Here is a 21429-nt window from a genome sequence, read left to right on the forward strand (position 1 = left end):
TCCACAAACCCTCAATGATTATACTGAGAGTCACTATCATGCACTGAGCAGAGCTCTCAATGACTTCCCAGACTCTTCGGACCCTTCAATTACTAACACTCCAAATCCCAATGGCCCCACAATTACTTTCACTTCTTGTCCCAAGTATCCACTGGCCTCCCAATGACTGTCATTAATATCTACTGACACCCCCCCCCCCATGAACATCCAAGGGACCCCGACTGGCTTCCAATGAATTCCCTATCACCACCATCCTAAACAATTACCTCCCTGAGAATGCTCAAAGATGAAACTGATAAATGATGAACATGAATCTCACAGTGACCCCTGCGGACCCCACGATAAATCAAACAGCCCTAGCTGCTGATCCCCACAGAGCCACTTTGATCGCTCCATCACTTCAGCCAAGGTCAGCAAACGACAGCCTGTAGGCCACACACACACACTAGAATAATTCATGACACATGAACATTACATGAAATTCTGATTTCTTTGTCCATAAATGGTTTCTTTGGGACACAGCCACACTATATTGTCTGCTTTCATGCTGCCACAGCTGAGTTAAGCAGCTGGGGCAGCGATAGCAAAGCCAAAACCACTTCCTACCGGGACCTTTAAGAAAGTGTGCCCTTAAATACTCTGATAGCCCCTAGTGAATTAAATTGACCACCTGACATCATGCCCCTGTTGACCCTTCAGAGACTCAGGCACACATCCAGGCCCCAATGCTACCTTTCAACCCCTCAACGACCTCAAACTGGTGTCCACTGACGCCCCTTCCAGTGACACCCCTCTTAATTCTTCCGACCTCGGCGAGAAGGGGGCTAACCTAGGCCTGTCCTTGAAGAGACCCAGGTGCCAGTCCATTCTCTCCAGCCTCCCCTCGGTGATCCCGGAAGCTGGAACGGCGGCTCTCCTCTGACCTCTGCACACTTTCTGAAGATGGGAGTGTCAGGGCAGGCAAAAAAGAGAAGCTCTTCGTTCCCCAGAACCCACTTCCAGTGCCTCAGTTCTGTTTCCCAGCAGGCTTGTGCAGGTCGAGATGCTCACACAGGACTGACCCTGGTGCCCCAGCGCATCCGGGAAAAAGGAACCACAAATTCCTCGGGAAATACACAGAGAAGATCCCGCTGCCACTTGGCCTTTCCCACGGCGTGGCTGCCCCTCCCCGGCCTCCCTTGGGCCCGGCTGGAGCGCACAGCGCGGGACGCCCCCGACCCGGGGTCCTCTGGCACGAGGGGCAGCCTGATCTCGGCGACCGTCTCCACCCAAGGCTGCTGCCCGCCCCAGCTCGGACTCCGCGCGGCCTGGCTCCCAGGGGACGGGCGGGAGGGCCCGGCGAGACCGCTCGGCCGTCCACCCAGAGCCGGCACCCGGAGGTCGGCCCCTGGGCGCGGATCCCGATCTGAGGGCGGGTCCCAAGCGGCAGGGAGCGAACCTGGGACCGTGCCACCCCCCCACCAGTGGGCGCGGCAGCCGAAAAAAAGGGGAAGCGCCGGCGCTGGACTCTGCTCAGGGCAGCCCGCGAGGACCTAGGGCTCCGGCCACAGCGGCCCGAGCGCCCGGGGTGGGGCTACGCGGGCTCAGAACACGGTGGCTGGGGCGCCCTGCCCGCCGCTGCGCGCTTCCATTGGCTGCCGAGGCAAGGGCGGGGACTCAGTCACCGGCCTCCGCCTCCCGCGGCGTCCACACTCGCCGCGCGCGCGGCGGCCGGGCTGGACCTTGCTGGCCCGCGGCGCCATGAGCCGCAGCCTGGACTCGGCGCGGAGCTTCCTGGAGCGGCTGGAAGCGCGGGGCGGCCGGGAGGGGGCAGTCCTCGCCGGCGAGTTCAGCGTGAGTGGCACACGGGGTCCGCGAGCGGCGCGCCCCGGCCCTGGCCCTGCGTACGCCTGTCCTCCGCGCACGGCGGGCTCTGCCTTTCTGTCTCGGTGTCCCCGGTGTCTCCCCGCCTCGGGGGGTCTCTCCGTGTTTCTCTCCCCAGCACTTCTCTGTCGCTCTTGCTGTCTCCGTCTTCACTCTCTGCCCCCCGGCCCCGGAGCGCGACGTCCACGGCCAGGCCGGGACGGACCGTGCACACCCTCGTTCCCGGTGTCCTCGTCGCGCTCCCGGAACAACCTGGCTGCGGGCGGGACAGGTGGGGCGGGCGCCGCAGGGGAGGGCGGGCGGCCCTGCTGCGCTGGACAGCCCCGGCCCCGCCGCTTCTGGCGACCTGACTGTCCCCTGTGACCACAGGAAGGAAGGGGCTGCAGCAGGGCGAAGAGGAACACGGAGGCTGTGGCGTGGTGAGGGTGTGAACGCCGGGCTCGAATCCGCGTCCGGGCCCGAATCCGCTTCCCGTCCCGAATCCGCGTCCCGGCCATCCGCGTGTGGTCCAGGCGGTCTACCTGGCCCCTCTGACCTCGGCTTCTCCCTTGGTGAAATGGGGACATGAATGACCAAACTGGTCTAAGGATTAAATGATGTGGGTGAAAAGCACTTAGTACATATTGGGCGCACACTTCGTAGGGGCGTTCGTCACTGCCTATAAAGATTCTAAACGTGGGCCAGGTGCGGTGGCTCACACCTGTAATCCCAGCACTTTGGGAGGCCGAGGTGGGAGGATCGCTTGAGCTCAGGAGTTCGAGACCAGCCTGGGCAACACAGCGAAACCCCGTCTCTACTAAAAATACAAAAATCAACTGGGCATGGGCGCATGCCTGTAATCCCAGCTACTAGGGAGCAGAGACAGGGGACTCGCTTGAACCTGGGAGGCAGAGGTTGCAGTGAGCTGAGATGGTTCCACTGCACAGCTGAGATGGTGCCACTGCACTCCAGCCTGGGCCACAGAGTGAGATCCCATCTCAAACAAAACAAAACCAAACAAAAAATCTAAACGTTACAATACAGGTAGTGCAAGCCCAGCATTAGGAAGGCTCACGCAGAATGCTAGGCACTGTACATTACAGTTGATGACGTGTTTAAAGTGTAATCGCTTATGTACCAGACATAGAAACATACCATACAAACGCATAAACTGATATATGGTGACATGTATCAAGTTTAGAAATATGACAAATATATAAAAGTATTATAAATGACCGTTTATACAATAAACATTGCATAACTGCATAAAACAATACAACAAATGAATATAACAAAGATTATAATTTATAAAATGACCAAAGTTATTTGATAAATTCATAAGTAGATATAAAATATGTAACAGATGGCCGGGCACGGTGGCTCACGCCTATAATCCCAGCACTTTGGGAGGCCGAGGCGGGCGGATCACGAGGTCAGGAGATCCACACCATCCTGGCTAACACGGTGAAACCCCGTCTCTACTAAACACACAAAAAATTAGCTGGGCGTGGTGGCGGGCGCCTGTAGTCCCAGCTACTCGGGTGGCTGAGGCAGGAGAATGGCGTGAACCCGGGAGGCGGAGCTTGCAGTGAGCCGAGATCGCGCCACTGCAGTCCAGCCTGGGCAACAGAGCGAGACTCCATCTCAAAAAAAAAAAAAAAAAAAGTAACAGATAATTATAAACCTAAGTAATTTACACACATGTAGAAACATTGTATATAAGAAACTAAGAAATGCATAATAAATGTAAAATATATAATTATACAATATAAGAATGTGTGTAACAAATGTAAACATAATACCCATGTGATATATGACATCATGCGACTGGGTGGGTTCTGAACCGTGTACAGTGCGGAGGGCCTCACATGCGGAAGGCTGGGTGGCGAGGGCACCCCTGCTCCCCAAGCCTGCCTCCCGCATGTGCAGGAATCACTGCGCTCTTCTAGGTGTTCCCACTACACAAGGGCATCATGAGGGCTTAAATGACCCAATGGACACAAGTAAAGCACTTAGAATAGTGGCTGGCACACAGTGGTGGCATGGGTGTTACTTATTATCATTGAGATTACGAATACCTGACGATGATGGTAATACACGATTCACTAATTATTATTATAATCTCCCAGTAACACAGTGCCTATAGTATCTTGTACATAATATGTTATCCATTATAATGCCTATGCATTCATTGTACATTGTCTTATATGTTTAGCTACATAGCCCATAATATATTTCATTACAGTTATTGCTTACAAGACAATGTCACAGATTGAGTGTGCAGGGGGTGGGTGCCGAGAGGGTCTGAGTTCAACCCTCACCGTGTGACTTCCTGGTTGGGACCTTCCACAAGTCGCTGAACCACGTGGTGCATAAACTTTCCCGCCTGCACAATGGGGACGTCAATAATAGTACCCACGTCGTAGGAACCTGTGATGATTACATGCCCTTAGCACAGAGAGTGGCACAGAGAAGGTGCCCTGGGTCACTATTTCGGTATCATTATTATTAGGCAGGCCCAGTGCCATCAGGGTCTGCACTCACCTCCCCAGGCCACTGGCTTTGTATCCTGCAAGCGTGCCTAGGTGGCCTGGGACTCTGACCTGGCTCCTCTCCTGTCTTCTCCCCTCCCTGACCCACTCATAATGCTCTACCAGGACATCCAGGCCTGCTCGGCCGCCTGGAAGGCTGACGGCGTGTGCTCCACCGTGGCCGGCAGTCGGCCAGAGAACGTGAGGAAGAACCGCTACAAAGACGTGCTGCCTTGTAAGTCGGGGCTTCCGTAGGGAGTCGGTGCAGCCTTGCACGCCCTGCCACGTCCAGGCGTCAGTGTGCACTGGAGTCACCCACTGTGCTCTCCTCCCAGAGCCTCACCCTCTGCACTGCTCAGCAGCCCACAAGGGCACCTTGGTGGGATCTCTGCATGTGTGTGGTCCCCTGCTGGCTTTCAGCTAGGGGGCTGTCAGAGGCTCCGTCACCCTATCCTACCCAAACTCCACGTTTCTCACCTTATCTGCTGACAGATGATCAGACGCGAGTAATCCTCTCCCTGCTCCAGGAAGAGGGACACAGCGACTACATTAATGGCAACTTCATCCGGGTGAGGGTTGGGGTCACGGAAGGAGGTGGACTGGGAGTGGCCAGGGGTGGGCCGCAGAATCTCAGTCGTGAATTCGGCCTTCACCAGGGCGTGGATGGAAGCCTGGCCTACATTGCCACGCAAGGACCCTTGCCTCACACCCTGCTAGACTTCTGGAGACTGGTCTGGGAGTTTGGGGTCAAGGTCAGCACTTGGGGGTGCGGCACAATGGTGGGGTCAACATCTAAGTACCCCCTCGGCAGTTTCCCTGGCCCCCTCACCCAAATCACCTTCCTCTCCCCTGACCCTCCTTGTCTAGGTGATCCTGATGGCCTGTCGAGAGATAGAGAATGGGCGGGTAGGTGCCCTCTGCCCCCAGGTTTCATGTCCTTGTGGGAGGAGGGAGGAGGGATCTTGCTAGCTCCTCCTTGACCCCAGGACCCGAGGGTCCAGCTCTTGGAGTGACCTTATTGTAGCTCTGTGGGAAGCCCCATTGTTCCTCTAAGTTTTTGTTGATATGTTATTCATCCCCCAGTGTTGGCAACCCCTCTCCTGCTGGGCTTCCCAGCCATTTCACACCTTAGACCATAAGGCCCTATTCTGACTGCTTCCCCTGTAGGCTCTGATCTCTCTTTCCACCTCTCTTCCCTTTATTCACTCCACTCTAACAACTCTGGTCTCTGCTGTTCCCATGTTCCAGGGATGGCTCTGCCTCAGGGTCTGTGCCTTGGCTATTCCTTCAGCCTAGGACATCCTTCCCTGTGGCTTGCTCTATCACCTCCTTCAGGTCTTTGCTCAAATGGTAATTCCTCAATGAGACCTTCCGGGGTGGGTCTTCACACCATTTTAAACTCTCAGCACTTCCATTCTCCCTCCCTTGTCCTACTTTTCCTTCTTTCTTCACAGTTCTTATGAACTCCTAACACACTGGATAATCTACAAATGTATTATGTACATTGTTTATGCTTAATCTCCCTGATTTAGAAGGTAAGATCCACAAGGCCAGGGATTTTTGTTTTGCCTGTTAACATAAATTAGTTACTAAATAAATAAATGCATGTCAATATTGAAGGCTGAAGGCACATAGCTTCATGTGGTTTCTACATTCTTGCCTACTCCATGGATGGGGTAGGGGTTCCCTGGGGTGACTAGCTGATGGTGGAGGCTGTATGATCTGTAGTCTTGTCTCTTTCTCATTCCTGATTTTGGTAATTTGTGTTCTCTCTCTCTCTCTGTCTCATCTCTCTATTTCGCTATCTCTTTTTTCATGCTCCTGCCTGTTTTTTGTAAACAGTGTATTAGAACACAGCCACACTCATTTATTTACATATTGTGTATGCCTGCTTTTATGCTACAGTGGCAGAGTTGAGTAGTTGCAAGTTGAATAAATTATATGGCCTGTAAATTCTAAAGTATTTATCTGACCCTTTATAAAAATGTCAGCCAATCTTTGGACTAGAAGTTTATCATTTTATTATTTTTTCAAAGAACCTGCTTTGGTTGTATTCATTTGTATTCATTTTCTCTATTGATTTTTTCATTTTCCACTTTTTTTTTTTTTGAGACAGAGTCTTGCTCTGTTGCCCAGACTGGAGTGCAGTGGTGCAATCTTAGCTCACTGCAACCTCTGCCTCCCAAGTTCAAGCAATTCTCCTGCCCCAGACTCCTGAGTAGCTAGGAATACAGACACATGCCACCACGCCCAACTAATTCATTTTCTACTTTAATTTCAAGTGTACTTGAAAACAATGTGTATTCTGCTTTGGTTGGCTGGAGTGTCCTGTAAATACCAATTAGGTCAACTGACAGACTTTTTAAAAAGACACTTTTATATCTTTACTGTATATTTTATATCTTTACTGATTTATTTTCTCTAAATGTATGGATTGCTTAGAGAGGAGTGTTGAAATTACCAACTGTTCAATAAGTATTAATTAGGTCAAGTTTGTCAACAGCACTATTCAAGTCTTATTTCTGACAATTTTTTTTGTCTGCTTGCCCTATTATTTGCTGAAAGAGGAATGTTGAAATCTGCTTTAACTATTCTTTCAGTTTTACTTTTCATGTTTTAAAACTTTATGATTGAGTACATATACATTTAGGATTATGTCTTCCTAATGATTGGATCCCTTTCTAATATGTAATGACTCTTTATTTGTTAATATTTTTTTCTGAAGTGTACTTTGATATTAATACAGCCATTTAAATTTCTTTCTTTTCTTTCTCTTTCTTTCTTTCTTTCTTTCTTTCTTTCTTTCTTTCTTTCTTTCTTTCTTTCCTTTCTTTCCTTTCTTTCCTTTCTTTCTTTCTGTTTTTTTGAGATGCAGTTTCCCTCGTCACCCAGGCTGGAGTTCAATGGCGCGATCTTGGCTCACTGCAACCTTTGCCTCCCAGGTTCAAGCGATTCTCCTGCCTCAGCCTCTCGAGTAGCTGGGATTGCAGGTGCCTGCCACCACGCCCAGCTAATTTTTGTATTTTTAGTAGAGATGGGGTTTCACCATGTTGGCCAGGCTGGTCTCAAACTCCTGCCCTCAGGTGATCCACCCGCCTCAGCCTCCCAAAGTCCTGAGATTACAGGCATGAGCCACCGCCCTCGGCCTTAAATTTCTTTAGAGTTTGCATATGTCTTTTCCCATTCTTTTACTTTGTATCTATGTTCATCTTTATTTTTTAGTGTGTTTCTTGTAGGTGGTGTATTGTAGGGACTTTTTTTTTTTAAGACAGAGGGGAATGGAGTGGTGCAATCATAGTTCACTGTAACCTCAAAATCCTGGGCTCAAATGATCATGCTAGCGCAGCCTCCCTGAGGAGTTGGGACTACAGGCATACACCACCGTGCCTGATTAATTGTTTTTTATTTCTTGTAGAGATTAAGTCTCACGTATAATCCAGGCTGGTCTCGAACTCCTGGCCTCAAGCTGTCCTTCCACCTCGGCCTCCCAAAGTGCTAAGATTACAGGCATGAGCCACTGCATCTAGCCAGGACTTACTTTTAAATCTAATCTGACAGTCTCTGCCTTTAATTGGAATATTCAGCCTTTAATGTAATTATCAATAATGTTGGGTTTAAACCTACCATCTTGCTATTTGTTTTCTATTTGCTCTGTTTGTTCTTTTCTTCTTTTTTTCTCTTTCAGAGTGAGAATTTTTTATTAATCTATTGCATAGTAATTATTCCCTTATTAGCTATACATCTTTATTTTAAATATTTAGTTGTGGCTTTAGGGTTTACAATATATATCTTTAACTTATAGTCTATAGTCAAATAATATTCTACATTTCATGTAAAATGTCAGAACTTTACTGTAGTATATTTCGATTACCCCTTTCCATGCTTTGTGCTATTGTTACTATATATTATAGTTCTATATATAAAATATACTCCACAGTACACTGCTATTATAGTTGTTTTAGAATATCTTTTTAAACAGCTTTATTGATATACAATTCAGTCATTTAAAGTGTACAGTTCCATCATTTTTCTATATTCCTGAGCTATGCAACTATTACCACAGTAAGATTTTTGTTTTTGTTTTTGTTTTTGTTTTTGAGACGGAGCCTCGCTCTGTCCTCCAGGCTGGAGTGCAATGGCGCGATCTCAGCTCGCTGCAACCTCCGCCTCCCGGGTCCACGCCATTCTCCTGCCTCAGCCTCCCGAGTAGCTAGGACTACAGGCGCCTGCCACCACGCCCGGCTAATTTTTTGTATTTTTAGTAGAGACGGGGTTTCACCGTGTTAGCCAGGATGGTCTCAATCTCCTGACCTCGTGATCCGCCCACCTCAGCCTCCCAAAGTGCTGGGATTACAGGCATGAGCCACCGTGCCCGGCCTACCACAATAAGTTTTTGAACATTTTCATCATTCCATAAAAAAATCCAGGCCAGACATGGTGGCTCATGCCTGTAATCCCAGCACTTTGGGAGGCTGAGACTGGTGGATCACGAGGTCAGGAGATCAAGACCATCCTGGCCAACATAGTGAAACCCCGTCTCTACTAAAAATACAAACATTAGCTGGGCATGGTGGCATGTGCCTGTAATCCCAGCAACTCGGGAGGCTGAGGCAGAAGAATAGCTTGAACCAGGGAGTTGGAGGTTGCAGTGAGCTGAGATTGTGCCACTACACTGCAGCCTGGCCACAGAGCAAGACTGTCTCTCAAAAAAAAAGAAAAAGAAAAGAAATCCTATATCCATTAGCAGTCACTCCCCATTTCCCAGCAACCTCTACAGCCCCAGACAATCCCTAATCTATTTTTGCCTTTATACATTTGCTTACTTTGGACATTTCATATAATTGAATCACATAATATGTAGCCTTTTTTTGCTTAGCATTTTTGTTTTGTTTTGTTTTGTTTGCTGAATACTATTCCATTGAATGGATCTACCACATTTTACTTATTGGTTGACAGAAATTGGGTTCTTTCTACTTTTTGGCTATTATGAACAGTGCTGCTATCAACACTGATATACAAGTCTCTGTGTAGATGTGGGTTTTCATGTCTCTTGGGTATTGCTGGGAATTGCTGGGCTATATGGAAACTCTATTTTTAACATTTTGAGGAAGTGCCAAACTGTTTTCCACAGTGGCAGCATCATTTTACATTTCCACGGCAATGTTTGAGGGTCCCCATTTCTTCTCCCTGATGCTTGTTACTGTCTTTTTTTTTTTTTTAATTATAGCCATCCTAGGGGTTGTGAAGTGGTATGCCATTGTGTCTTTCTTTAAATTATGTGGTAAAATATACATAACATAAAATTTGCCAGTTTATAGGTGCTGTGAGGAATGTTAAAAATAATTTTGCCATTTAAACCATTTCAAGTGTACAATTCAATTGAATTAAGTACATTCACAATGGATTAACCATTCCTACTGTCTATTTTCAGAACATGTTCATCATCCCAAACAGAAATTCTGTATTCATTAAACAATAACTCCCCATTCCCCCATTTCCAGGTAACCTCTATTCTCCTTTCTGTCCCTATGAATTTGCCTATTCTAGGTACCTCATGCAAGTGGAATCAGGAATACACTAATATACAATACTTGTCCTTTTTTCAAGGTTCATCCATGTTGCAGTGTGTATCAGAATTTCACTGTTTTCAAGGCCAAATAATATTTCATTGTATGTATATATCACATTTTGTTTATCCATTCGCCTGTTGGACATCTGGGTTGTTTGTACCTTTTGACTATTGTAAATAAGGCGGCTACAAACATTGGTATACAGGCTGGACACAGTGGCTCACGCCTGTAATCCCAGCACTTTGGGAGGCCGAAGCAGGCAGATCACGAGGTCAGGAGATCGAGACCAGCCTGGCTAACACGATGAAATCCCACCTCTACTAAAAATACAAAAAATTAGCCAGGCGTGGTGGCAGCCGCCTGTAGTCCCAGCTACTCGGGAGGCTGAGGCAAGAGAATGGTGTGAACCCATGAGGCGGAGCTTGCAGTGAGCCGAGATCGCACCACCGCACTCCAGCCTGGGCGACAGAGCGAGACTCCGTCTCAAAACAACAACAACAACAACAACAAAAAATTGGTATACTAGTATCTGTTTGAATCCCTGTTTTCAGTTCCCTGGGTATACACCTAGCATGGAATTGCTGGATCATATGATAACGCTATGTTCAACATTTTGTTTTCCACAGTGGCTGTACCATTTTACGTTCCCATCAGCAGAGAGAGAGAGAGGGAGGGAGGGACATGTGTAGTTTAATGACAGGGATATGGTCTGCATTGTTAAGACTATCTTGTCATTGTGTAAACATCATAGAGTATACTTACACAAACATAGATAGTATATACATTTTTTATTTATATATTTTTCATATGGAAAACCAAATGTCCCAGCACCATTACTGAGTATCAATCATTTCCCCAACTTAATATGCAGTGTCAATATCAAGTGCCATGTATCAGGTTTCTACATATGCTCCATTATAATCTATGGCACCACCATTGTATATGTGGTCTGTTGTTAACCAAAACATCATTATGTGGCATATGACAATGACATATATGCCATCCTAATGAGTGGGAAGTGGTACCTCATTGTGGTTTTGGTTTTCATGTGCTTATTCGTCCATTTGTATATCTTCTCTGGCCAAATGTCTATTCATGTCATTTATTCATTTTAAAATTGGGCTATTTGGGGTTGTCTTTTTATTATTGAGTTGTAAGCGTTATTCTGTATATAAGTCCCTTATCAGTACATGATTTAAAATGTCTTTCCCATTCTGTGGGTTGTCATTCCACTTTCTTGATGGTGTGTTTTGAAGCACAAACATTTTGTGAAACTTTAATTCCAATCTATTGTGTTGCTGTGCTTTTGGTGTATCTGAGAAGTCATTGTCTAATCAGAGGTCATAAAGACTTACTCCTGTTCTTCCTTCTAAGTGTTTTATAGTTTTCTTGCTTACAGTTAGGTCTCAGATTTACTTTGAATGAACTTTTGTATGTGATGTGAGATAGGGGTCCACATTCACTCTTTTGCATGTGACTATCCAGTTGTTCCAGCACCATTTGTTGAAAAGACTATGCTTTGCCCATTGAACCGTCTTGGCCCCTTTGTTGAAAATTAATTGGCCATAAATATAAGGGTTTATTTCTGAACTCTCAATTTTATTAAGCTGATTGATGTGTTTATCCTTGTGCCAGTGTAACATAGTTTTGATTATTATACCTTTGTAGAAGTTCTGAAATCAGGAAGTATGAGTCTTCCAAATTTGTTCTTTTTTCCAAGATTGTTTTGGCTATTTTGGGTAGGTCCCCTGCTGTGCAGAAGAGTTAAACATGGCAAGCATAAATGTTTATGCTTAGAAAGGCCTTCCTGTAAGGTTGACTCTTGGGTGGCCTCTAGAAACCTAGGTTTCTGATAACAGTGGCTCACTATGCCTGAACTGTTAATACAAACAATATGCTTTATGCAGAACACCTGTTCTCCTGCTGGTAGTCTGACATTTTGGTACAGGCTAGGCAGAGTGTGCCTACATTCTGTGCAGACGGTGCCCCAATAAAAATCCTGGGCACTGAGTTTCTAATGAACTTTTTTATGAAACGCTGTTGAGTTTTGTCAAATTTTGTTCTTTGCATCTATTCAGATGATCGTGTGTTTTGTATTCTACTAATATGGTGTATGACATTGACTTTCATATGTTGAACCAATCTTGCATTCCTGGAATTAATCCCACTTAGTCATGGTGTTTAATACTTTGCTAGTACTTCATTGAGAATTTTTGTGTCTATGTTTGTGAGATATTGGTTAGTAGTTTTCTTTTCTTGTGATGTCTTTGGTTTTGGTGCCAGGGTAATACTAGCCTCATACAATATGTTGGGAAATGGTTCCTCTCAGTTTTTTGCAAGAGTTTGTGAAAGGCTGGTATTAATTCCTCTTTGTTTGATAAAATTCACTAGATTATCTTTTAAAGATGTTTAAAATGAAATATCTTTTACATTTAGCCACTTACTTTTCTCCCTGTTATTTTGTGTAGATCTGTATTTCCATTTGTATCACGTTCCTTTTGTATGCAGAGCTTACTTATTCTATTTATTTAAGAGATAGGGTCTCACTCTGTCATACAGGCTGGAGTGCAGTGTGCAGTCACCACTCACTGCAGCCTCAAACTCCTGGGCTTAAGCAATCCTCCCACCTCAGCCTGCCAAGTAGTTGGGAGTACAGGTGTGCCACTGCACTCAGCTAACTAAAAAAGATTTTTTTTAGATACAGGCTAGCTATGTTGCCAACACACCTAGCTAATTTTAATTTTTTTTTTTTTTTTTTTTTTTTTTTTAAGATACAGGCTATGTTGCTCAGGCTGGTGTTGAAGTGGCCTCAAGCAATCCTCCTGCCTTAGCCTCTCAAATAGCTGGAGCAGCCACTGTCTGTAAGCATCTGAAGAGCTTACTCTAATATTTCTCATAATGCAGATTTGTTTGTGATGAATTCCCTCAGCTTTCATTTGTCTGAAAAGGTTTTCAGCATTTTTAGGATATCATAGCATTGACTTGCCGTTTCTGACAAAATGTTGCTATAATTCTTAACTTTGTTCCTCAGTATGTGATGTGTCCTTTTGTGCATAATGCTTTTAAGATTTTCTCTTCTGGGGCCTGGTGTGGTGGCTCATGCCTGTAATCCCAGCACTTTGGGAGGCCAAGGTAGGTGTATCACTTGAGGTCAGGAGTTCGAGACCAGCCCGGCCAACCTGGTGAAACCCTGTCTCTACTAAAAATACAAAAAAAGGTTGGACATGGTGGTGTGTGTCTGTAATCCCAGCTACTCAGGAGCCTGAGGCAGGAGAATCGCTTGAACCTGGGAGTTGCAGGTTGCAGTGAGCCGAGATTGAGCCACTGCACGCCAAGCCTGGGTGACAGAGCAAGGGTCTCAAAAAAAAATTTTTTTTTCTCTTCTTCATTCTTTTTCAGTAATTTGATCATGATCTGCCTTGGCGTGACTTTCTTTAGGTTTAGGTTTATTCTCCCTCTGGTTCATTGACTTTCTTGGATTTGTGGGTTCATAGTTTCATCGAATTTGGGAAAATTTTCACCTATTATTTCTTTACATAAAGTTTCTGTTATCCCCCTTTCTCCTTTCCTTCTGGACTCCACGTGCACATACACTAGACTGGTATATTTCTACAGAGAACTGATTCTTTTTCATTTTTTTCATTTCATTTTGAATTATTTATATTGCTATGTTTTCATGTCTATTGATCCTTTCTTCTAGTGTCTACCCTGCTATTAGTGGATTTTTCATTTCATATATTTTATTTTTCCTCTTTATAAATTCCATTCAGGTTATTTTTTGTATCTTTCATTCCACTCTGCATCATGTTCATGTTTTCCTTTTCATCTTTGAGTGTATTTGTAATAGCCATTTTAAGATTTTTGCTTCTTTCCTGAACTGTTATTTCTGGGCCCTTTCCTATTGACTAATTTTTCTCCTGGTTATGGGTCACACTTTCCTGCTTCTTTGTATGTCCAGCAAAATTTTATTGGATGCTTGATATTTTGAATTTTGCACAGGTAAGTGTTGGATTGTTTTCTTTAGAGTGTTTTGCCTTTTCAGGAACTTTTGGATGGTTGATCAAGTAGCCTTTGTTCTAGAATTAATTTAGCCGTACTTCTAATGTGTGGTCATTCTAGGTTCCCTACTAAATGCCCCTTATAGTTGATAATGCCTCTACACTCTAGCTAGAGGGAATGTGAATTCTTTCTCATCATGAGCTCAAGGAAATGTTCATCCTACAGATCCCTACTATTCTTTCATGGTAAGTTATTCTTGCCTGGCCTCATGGGGTTTCATGTTGTATATATTCAGATTATTCAACCAAAGAATCAAGGAGGGGACTTCTATGCAAGTTATTGTTTTGTTTTTATTTGCATACCTCTGTTCCTTCCAGGACTCTGCCCTGCAAATTCTAGCTGCTTTTGCCTCCTTGAGCCATGGTCTCTGGCTCAACTCAGTGGGATCATTAGACTCATGTCTTACAGCCTGGTGACACTTCCATGCAATAAGCCGGAGTGGTCTGTTCAGTGACCACAGTACTGCAACACCTGCCAACCAGTGTCTGAAAATAGTGGCTCATGTATTTTGTCCAGTTTCTAGTTGCTTACAGTGGGAGGGTATCCTGGACTGTATTTCCCCTGCATGGTCAGCAGCGCACCTCCATTGAGTCTGCATGTGTTTAATCTGATGGCTCTGTTGGCTGGCGTCTGTTATAGGTTATAAGTATAGCTGCCTGTGCTTCCACCACGAGCACCTGGGGTGTCTTGTGGCATGATTGAGCTAGCTCTGAAGCTGACTCCCTCTTCTCACTCCCTGCCTTTTCTCCCTTACCTTTTGCAGAAAAGGTGTGAGCGGTACTGGGCCCAGGAGCAGGAGCCACTGCAGACTGGGCTTTTCTGCATCACTCTGGTGAGCTGTGGGAGTTTTCAAGGAAGATTCCCAGGGTGGAAAGGCTTTGGGTTGGGCCTAAAAGGTTGAATGATTTAACCCACAGTCCACTCATACTGCAGGAAACCCTCTGGTGTTAGCCTGCAAATAGTTAGAACTTACTATAGGGATAGCCTTTGCATTTTTATTTTGGCTACAATCAGTTAATCTCTGTCATGTAAATGTGCCTGGTTAGGTTGTTGAAATTCTTACTTCTCTTACCATTTCAAAAGAGCTTGGGGAACTCTCTCAAGTCATACATACAGTTAGTACTTAATAAATGCAATAAAAGTTTCATTTTAGAACAAAAGACATCTCTTTTCATTGCAAAAGGGCTTGTGTTTTTATAATAGTTCCTCTTTTGCTCCTGTGTCAAATGTTTCCTTAATGAAAGCTTTGGGGAAAGTTTGGGCTATATGAATTTTTAAAATGTTTTCTGTATTTGATTTTTTAATCAGGAATGCTTTGCTTTCTATAAATGTCTTCTGGTACCTATGATCTTTGTTCTCCTCCCTCTTCTTACTTGCCCCACCCCCCTTACTCAGATAAAGGAGAAGTGGCTGAATGAGGACATCATGCTCAGGACCCTCAAGGTCACATTCCAGAAGGTACTGTGACAGGGGAGGAGGAGGTAAAGGGGCTCCTGAAAGGGGAGAGGTTTCCTCTCCTGTAAAAATGGGCATCATACTAGTACCCACTTCCTCAGTTATTGTCTGGTAGACATAAATGGAAGATGCCTAGAAGTGGGCCTGGTGTATAGTAGATGGCCAATTAATGCTTTTTTCTTTTTTTTCCTAAGTCTTTTGCTCATCTTTTTCTGTGTTTCAGGAGTCCCGTTCTGTGTACCAGCTACAGTATATGTCCTGGCCAGACCGTGGGGTCCCCAGCAGTCCTGACCACATGCTCGCCATGGTGGAGGAAGCCCGTCGCCTCCAGGGATCTGGCCCTGAACCCCTCTGTGTCCACTGCAGGTTTTGGAAATGGGCTTCAGGAGGGTCTGGTGAGGCAGAGGGGACAGAGCATGGAGGGGAGTACAGGGCATGGGGCTAGTCTTGTAGTCTGAGTGCCTATTTTGAGAACCCTTGCTCACCCTCCATGGACTGTAATTGTGAGCACTTGTTCAGCACAGACTCAGCTGGGGAATAAGCACACAGCTCTTGCTCAACAAAATGTAAGTGATTAAAAAGGTTTTCCTTGTTCAGATATAATCTGAAGATTCTGGGAATCAAGAGGCTCTGCAGGGGATCCATCAGGACCCTCACCCCCATCCCCAAATGCCCCATCTAAAAGGGGTTGTGGTCAGGACCTGACCAGGCACACTCTGATTCTCTTGTCAGTGCGGGTTGTGGGCGAACAGGCGTCCTGTGCACCGTGGATTATGTGAGGCAGCTGCTCCTGACCCAGGTACGATACAGGCATCCTGTGTGTGCAGTGTGCTGCCCATGACCACGTGTCCTGCTCAAGTGCCTTGTCTGTCTGCCCCAGATGATCCCACCTGACTTCAGTCTCTTTGATGTGGTCCTTAAGATGAGGAAGCAGCGGCCTGCGGCCGTGCAGACAGAGGTGAACCCTGGGTCTCCTAATCTTCAGGGACAGTGGCCCACTGCTGTCATTTGCCCCTGCCTTCCCTTCTTGATGGTCCCTCACCCCAACAGGAGCAGTACAGGTTCCTGTACCACACGGTGGCTCAGATGTTCTGCTCCACACTCCAGAATGCCAGCCCCCACTACCAGAACATCAAAGAGGTACAGAGGCTCCTTTCCCACTCTCCTGTCCACCATCAGCACCCTCAGAGACCAGGACCCCGAGCAGGGTCCAGCCCCCGGGACTACTGGGAGCAGGCACTGACTATGACATCCACCTGTGCCCTCCTCCAGGCATCCTTATCAGGCTCTCCCATCTTAAGCTTTCTCCCAGAGCCCCTTGAGAGGCCTGGCCAGCTTCCTCCCTCAGGAGCCTCCCCTCCTGTTTTTCTTCAGAATTGTGCCCCACTCTACGACGATGCCCTCTTCCTCCGGACTCCCCAGGCACTTCTCGCCATACCCCGCCCACCAGGAGGGGTCCTCAGGTACCCGGCTCCATCCCCGGATTCTTCCCTGCCCAATTTCTCAGGCTAACCCCTTCTTCATCCTTGGAACACCAGTCCGTTCCTTGTTCACTTCGCCAAGTGTTCGCTGGCCCTTTCTTCGAATTGAGCTCTGGGAACCCACCCCAAGATGATTCAATTATCCCAAGATGATTCATTTACCCCTTGCCTCTGCCTCTAAGGCTTGCCCTGCCTTCTGAGTTAGGCCTTTCCTGGATCCTCTAATCAAACCTTAATTCAGGTGGCTCACCCCTGTAATCCCAGCACTTCGGGAGGCCAAGGAGGGCGGATCACTTGAGCCCAGCTGGAGACCAGCCTGGTTAACATGGTGAAACCCTGTCTCTACTAAAAATACAAAAATTAGCCAGGCGTGCTGGTGAGAGCCTGTAATCCCAGCTACTCCGGAGGCTGAGGCAGGAGAGTCGCTTGAGCCCGGGAGGTGGAGGTTGCAGTAAGCCGAGATCGCACCACGGCAGTCCAGCCTGGGCGACAGAGCGAGATCCTGTCTCAAAAAAACAACAAAAAAAATTCAGCAAATAATTCTAGACGCCGCCTTCTTGTCAGGCCGCACGTTGGGTGCTGCGGACATGGGATTGAGCCGCCTTCGCAGCGGAGACTTAAGGCCCTTGTCCTTGCGGCCATCCCTTCCTGTCTTCTATGCCACTTCCGCATTCTTTTGTTCAGTAGACGTTGACACAGAAATGACCACCCCTCAAACCAACACTCTGCCCCAAATTACCCTCCAGGCTGACCCCGTTCCTCCTTCATCCCCCTAACTTGCAGGGCGCTAGGGACACAGAAGCGAGGCCTCCAACCCAAGGAGCCCTCCCTCCCATCTAGCGCACCGCCTCGGCGGGAAGGAAGCCCGTGGTTTGCGCGCTGAGCAGCCTCCCCACTCCCGCCCTGCCCAGCGCCGCCGTTTCACTTCCTCCCGGCCCTCCCTGCCTGCAGGAGCATCTCTGTGCCCGGGTCCCCGGGCCACGCCATGGCTGACACCTACGCGGTGGTGCAGAAGCGCGGGGCTCCAGCGGGCGCCGGGAGTGGGACGCAGACGGGGACGGGGACGGGGACGGGGGCGCGCAGCGCGGAGGAGGCGCCGCTCTACAGCAAGGTGACGCCGCGCGCCCAGCGACCCGGGGCGCACGCGGAGGACGCGAGGGGGACGCTGCCTGGCCGCGGTGAGTCGAGGCTTGCTCCTTCTCAGGGCATCATCCTGCTGTGATCCGCAGGGCGGAACCATCCTGCAGTGGTCCGTCAGGCCCTGGCGGCCGCGGGGACCCCAGCCGCTAGCCTGGCCACGCCCCGACGCTGATGTCCAGGCGTCCCTGGCCACGCCCCGGAAGCGCCCCCTGGCGGTCGCAGTCGCGGTCCAGGGGCAGGGTTCCTGGCAATACTTGTCTTGGCCGCGCCCAAAGGCTGGAGGCCACGTCCGGGGTGTGTGCCTTCTCCCGCCCGGCGCCCTCGGCTCTCCCCTTCGGGCCTCCGGGGAAGCGTCCCCGCTAGGGGTGGGGTCTTGGGACTCCCTGGGGCTTCCGGAGCTGACCCGTGGGGGGTCTGCTGCCCTCAGTTCCTGCTGACCAAAGTCCTGCCGGATCTGGCGCCTACGAGGACGTGGCGGGTGGAGCTCAGACCGGTGGGCTAGGTAAGTCAGGTAGAGCCTGGGTTGCTGGGACTTTGCTGCTTTGAGTGAACCCAGGAGTCTGGGGTTGATGGGGCATGGAGCTTAGTCCTGTGGATGTGGCTGCAGTGAACCAGGAGGACCTGGAGGCGGGGGGATGGCCTTCTTCATGTCTGCCAGCTTCCACACACCTCAGCTTCTCCATGAGACCCACGGCACCCTTCTTCTCCCAGGTTTCAACCTGCGCATTGGGAGGCCGAAGGGTCCCCGGGACCCGCCTGCTGAGTGGACCCGGGTGTAAGTCTAACGCCAGTTCCTGCCTGTTGCCTCTTGTGAGCTCGGACTGCTGATGCCCCGGTGCTGCTGAGCGCCGTGCGCAGAATGGAAACAGTGGGCCTGGATCAAAGTTAAAGTTTCTCAGGGTGGGAAATGTGGGGGCTTTGCCCCAATGACTGTAGCATTCAAGGCTTGAGGCTGGAGGAGGTAGCTAGGGTATAGTGGCTGGTGAGGCTGCACAGAGCAGATTCAAGAAAGAAGATCAGGAAGGGGCATGACCCCTGAGTTATGAAGGGGAGAAGGGACAGATGAGCTTCCGGAGACTGCTCTCCTCACCACACAGCACTAGTCCATCCTCAGCACCTGAGCCTCCCTCACTTGGACACTCAGGGGACCACACAGAGAAGTGGATGGACACTTCGCCATCCAGGCAGAACTAAGCCAGGCATAACCACAGCCAAGCAGATTAACCCCAGGCAGACCGATAAAAAGACCTCCAGATAGGCAGACAGACAGATGGACCACCAACCTGGACAGACAGCCAAAGCTTCAGAGATACAGTCCACAGGTGGACAAAGGGATCCCCAGCCAGAGAGAGAGAGACCAGCCAACAGCTTGATAGACCAGTGCAGCCAGAGAGACCACCAAACAGAGCCCCCAAAAGACAGACATCTCTGCTAGCTGGACAGCCAGGTGGACCCCCTAAGTTAGATTACTAGACAGATATAAACAGATCCCCTGCTGAACAGATACACAGAGTTCTCAGACCCCACCCCCACCCTCAGGTGGGCTGGCTGGCTGACAGACCTTCTGGCCAGACAGACTCCTAACCAACCAGATGGACTGCCAGACAGGCAGACATCAGCCACATGGAATCCTGACATCCCAGCCAGCCGGCCAGACTCTCATCTTGATGTCTTGATGGATGGACCCCAGCTAGTCAGACATGATCCTCCAGATTGACAGACAAGTCCCCCAAATGAGTACACATCTCCAGCTATTCAGACAGATGGACCCCCAGCAAATCAGGACCTATCTAGGCAGACCCCAGCCAGACCCCCGCCAGACAGACTCCCAACCAGACTGACCCCTTACTATTCACACAGCCTGCCGAGTAGCTGGGACTACAGGTCTAATTTTTTTTTTTTTTAAGAAATGAGTTTTTGCCATGTTGCCCAGACTGGTCTTGAACTCCCAACCTCAAGCAATCCTCCTGCCTCAGCCTCCCAAAGTGCTGAGATTACAGGTGTGAGCCACCAGGCTCAGCCCCCTAAGATTTGAAACACTTTAAATGGCCCATGGTAGGGTTCCTGCTAGGATAAAACATTAAGCGGCTGTTAAAAGAAATAAAAGGAGGACACGTCTCTGTGCACTGGTGTGGACAAATCTCCAAGTCACTGCAAAATGGAAAAAGTATAAGATGCTCTTTCCCTGAACCTCAAGGGTCCCGCCCCTCTCACTTTCAGGTCTCTGGACCTCTGACTGACACTGTGCCTGCCCAGGTCCCTGTATGCACTGCCACAGTGCCCTGGGCCCCATGTCCACCCCTGTCCTGCCCTTCTCTGGGATAGGGCTGGCCTTCCTCTGCCTCTGCCTGGCTGCATCCATGGTCGATCTCAAGTGCCTTGGCATGAACTCCACTCTCCTGCAGCCTTCAATCAAGGAATGATGGGGATGTGTACATACCCCACCCCACCCCTTGGCAGGGTGATGCTGAGGTGTGGATTTTTAACAGTTCCCAGACTTTCCCAGGAGGCTTGGGTTTGGGTGCCCACAGTGGGAGCTGGTGTGATATCATACCTTCGCCGGCCGCCTTTCCTTCCTGTTCTCTGTGCCCCTACTCCCACTCTAGAGCTGCCCCGTTTCTCTGTTTTCGTGAAAGAGCTGACCCTGTGCTGCCTCCCACTCTCCCAATGCCCCTGCCACTCCTGTGAGCCTGCTGCTGGTGAGGTCGGTGCTGACCTCTGTGTTGCTGGATAATGAGTCATCTATCTCTGGAGGAGAAGAAAGGCAGGTCCTCCACAGCCCTGATAAAATCTCCAAGTCTCCCAGTTTCGGGTCCCTCTCCTGGGATGCAGACCCACTGCCTGCCCAGCTGGTACGATCCACATGCCCTCTTCTTGGGAATAGGGGCATGGGAAAGTGACTAAAGATACTGTTCTGGCTGCTGTGTTCACTGTGAGTAATAAACTGTCCATTTCTCCGATTCAGAGGTCTGTTTTTCCTTTTTTTCTTCCCCAAAGATGGAGTCTTGCTCTGTCGCCCAGGCTGGAGTACAATGTCGCAATCTTGGCTCACTACAACCTCTGTCTCCGCCTCCCAGGTTCAAGCAATTCTTCTGCCTCAGCCTCTCAAGTAGCTGGGATTAAACGCGTGTACCACTATGCCCAGCTAATATTTGTATTTTTAGTAGAGATGGGGTTTCACCACGTTGGCAAGGCTGGTCTCGAACTCCTGACCTCGTGATCTACCTGCCCCTGCCTCACGAAGTGCTGGGATTACTGGCGTGAGTCACTGCTCCCGGCCTTGGTCTGGTGTTTTATACACATGTGCATGTGATGTGGAGCTGTGCAGGCCACCTTGTCAGCATGCGAGGA

At 48.5% G+C, this 21429-nt stretch overlaps 1 protein-coding gene across 6 annotated transcripts, besides 5 other annotated features; it reads left to right on the forward strand.

The window, feature by feature from the left end:
* Window positions 1269–1938: a silencer, noted in NCBI's record as "silent region_11956". NCBI's record gives its function as "represses an Ori minimal core promoter by ATAC-STARR-seq in GM12878 lymphoblastoid cells {active_cell/tissue: GM12878}" and the evidence as "EXISTENCE:reporter gene assay evidence [ECO:0000049][PMID:35858748]".
* Window positions 1689–21038, forward strand: PTPN18 (protein tyrosine phosphatase non-receptor type 18). 6 transcript variants are annotated; one of them, XM_006712417.2, is made up of 16 exons: window positions 1689–1833; window positions 4500–4608; window positions 4866–4942; window positions 5030–5125; window positions 5241–5279; window positions 14766–14834; window positions 15398–15460; window positions 15681–15823; window positions 16190–16256; window positions 16338–16415; window positions 16508–16597; window positions 16832–16920; window positions 17890–18116; window positions 18506–18580; window positions 18790–18853; window positions 20299–21038. In XM_006712417.2, the coding sequence occupies exons 1-16, from the start codon at window positions 1741–1743 to the stop codon at window positions 20312–20314; spliced, it is 1395 nt and encodes a 464-aa protein (XP_006712480.1). In that variant the 5' UTR covers window positions 1689–1740; the 3' UTR covers window positions 20315–21038. The 6 variants fall into 6 exon arrangements, with proteins under 6 accessions (XP_006712480.1, NP_055184.2, XP_006712479.1 ...); NM_014369.4 differs by having other exon boundaries at window positions 18790–21038; XM_006712416.5 differs by lacking the exons at window positions 4500–4608; window positions 4866–4942; window positions 5030–5125; window positions 5241–5279.
* Window positions 2079–2128: a silencer, noted in NCBI's record as "silent region_11957". NCBI's record gives its function as "represses an Ori minimal core promoter by ATAC-STARR-seq in GM12878 lymphoblastoid cells {active_cell/tissue: GM12878}" and the evidence as "EXISTENCE:reporter gene assay evidence [ECO:0000049][PMID:35858748]".
* Window positions 17463–18090: an enhancer, noted in NCBI's record as "H3K27ac-H3K4me1 hESC enhancer chr2:131129403-131130030 (GRCh37/hg19 assembly coordinates)". NCBI's record gives its function as "activates a minimal SCP1, AML or CMV promoter by ChIP-STARR-seq in naive H9 embryonic stem cells {active_cell/tissue: H9 hESC(naive)}" and the evidence as "EXISTENCE:reporter gene assay evidence [ECO:0000049][PMID:30033119]".
* Window positions 17463–18566: a biological region, named in NCBI's record as "H3K27ac-H3K4me1 hESC enhancer GRCh37_chr2:131129403-131130030".
* Window positions 17817–18566: a silencer, noted in NCBI's record as "silent region_11958". NCBI's record gives its function as "represses an Ori minimal core promoter by ATAC-STARR-seq in GM12878 lymphoblastoid cells {active_cell/tissue: GM12878}" and the evidence as "EXISTENCE:reporter gene assay evidence [ECO:0000049][PMID:35858748]".
* Window positions 21039–21429: the final 391 nt, after the last annotated feature.

The sequence above is a fragment of the Homo sapiens genome, chromosome 2, assembly GCF_000001405.40.
Source record: "Homo sapiens chromosome 2, GRCh38.p14 Primary Assembly".
NCBI lineage: Eukaryota > Metazoa > Chordata > Mammalia > Primates > Hominidae > Homo > Homo sapiens.

Coding starts and splice junctions, on each gene's coding strand:
- PTPN18 (XM_006712417.2), top strand. CDS start 1,741: ATGAGCCGCAGCCTGGACTCGGCGCGGAGCTTCCTGGAGCGGCTGGAA. Junction 4,609..4,865: donor CTACAAAGACGTGCTGCCTT/GTAAGTCGGGGC, acceptor ATCTGCTGACAG/ATGATCAGACGCGAGTAATC. Junction 16,598..16,831: donor ACTACCAGAACATCAAAGAG/GTACAGAGGCTC, acceptor GTTTTTCTTCAG/AATTGTGCCCCACTCTACGA.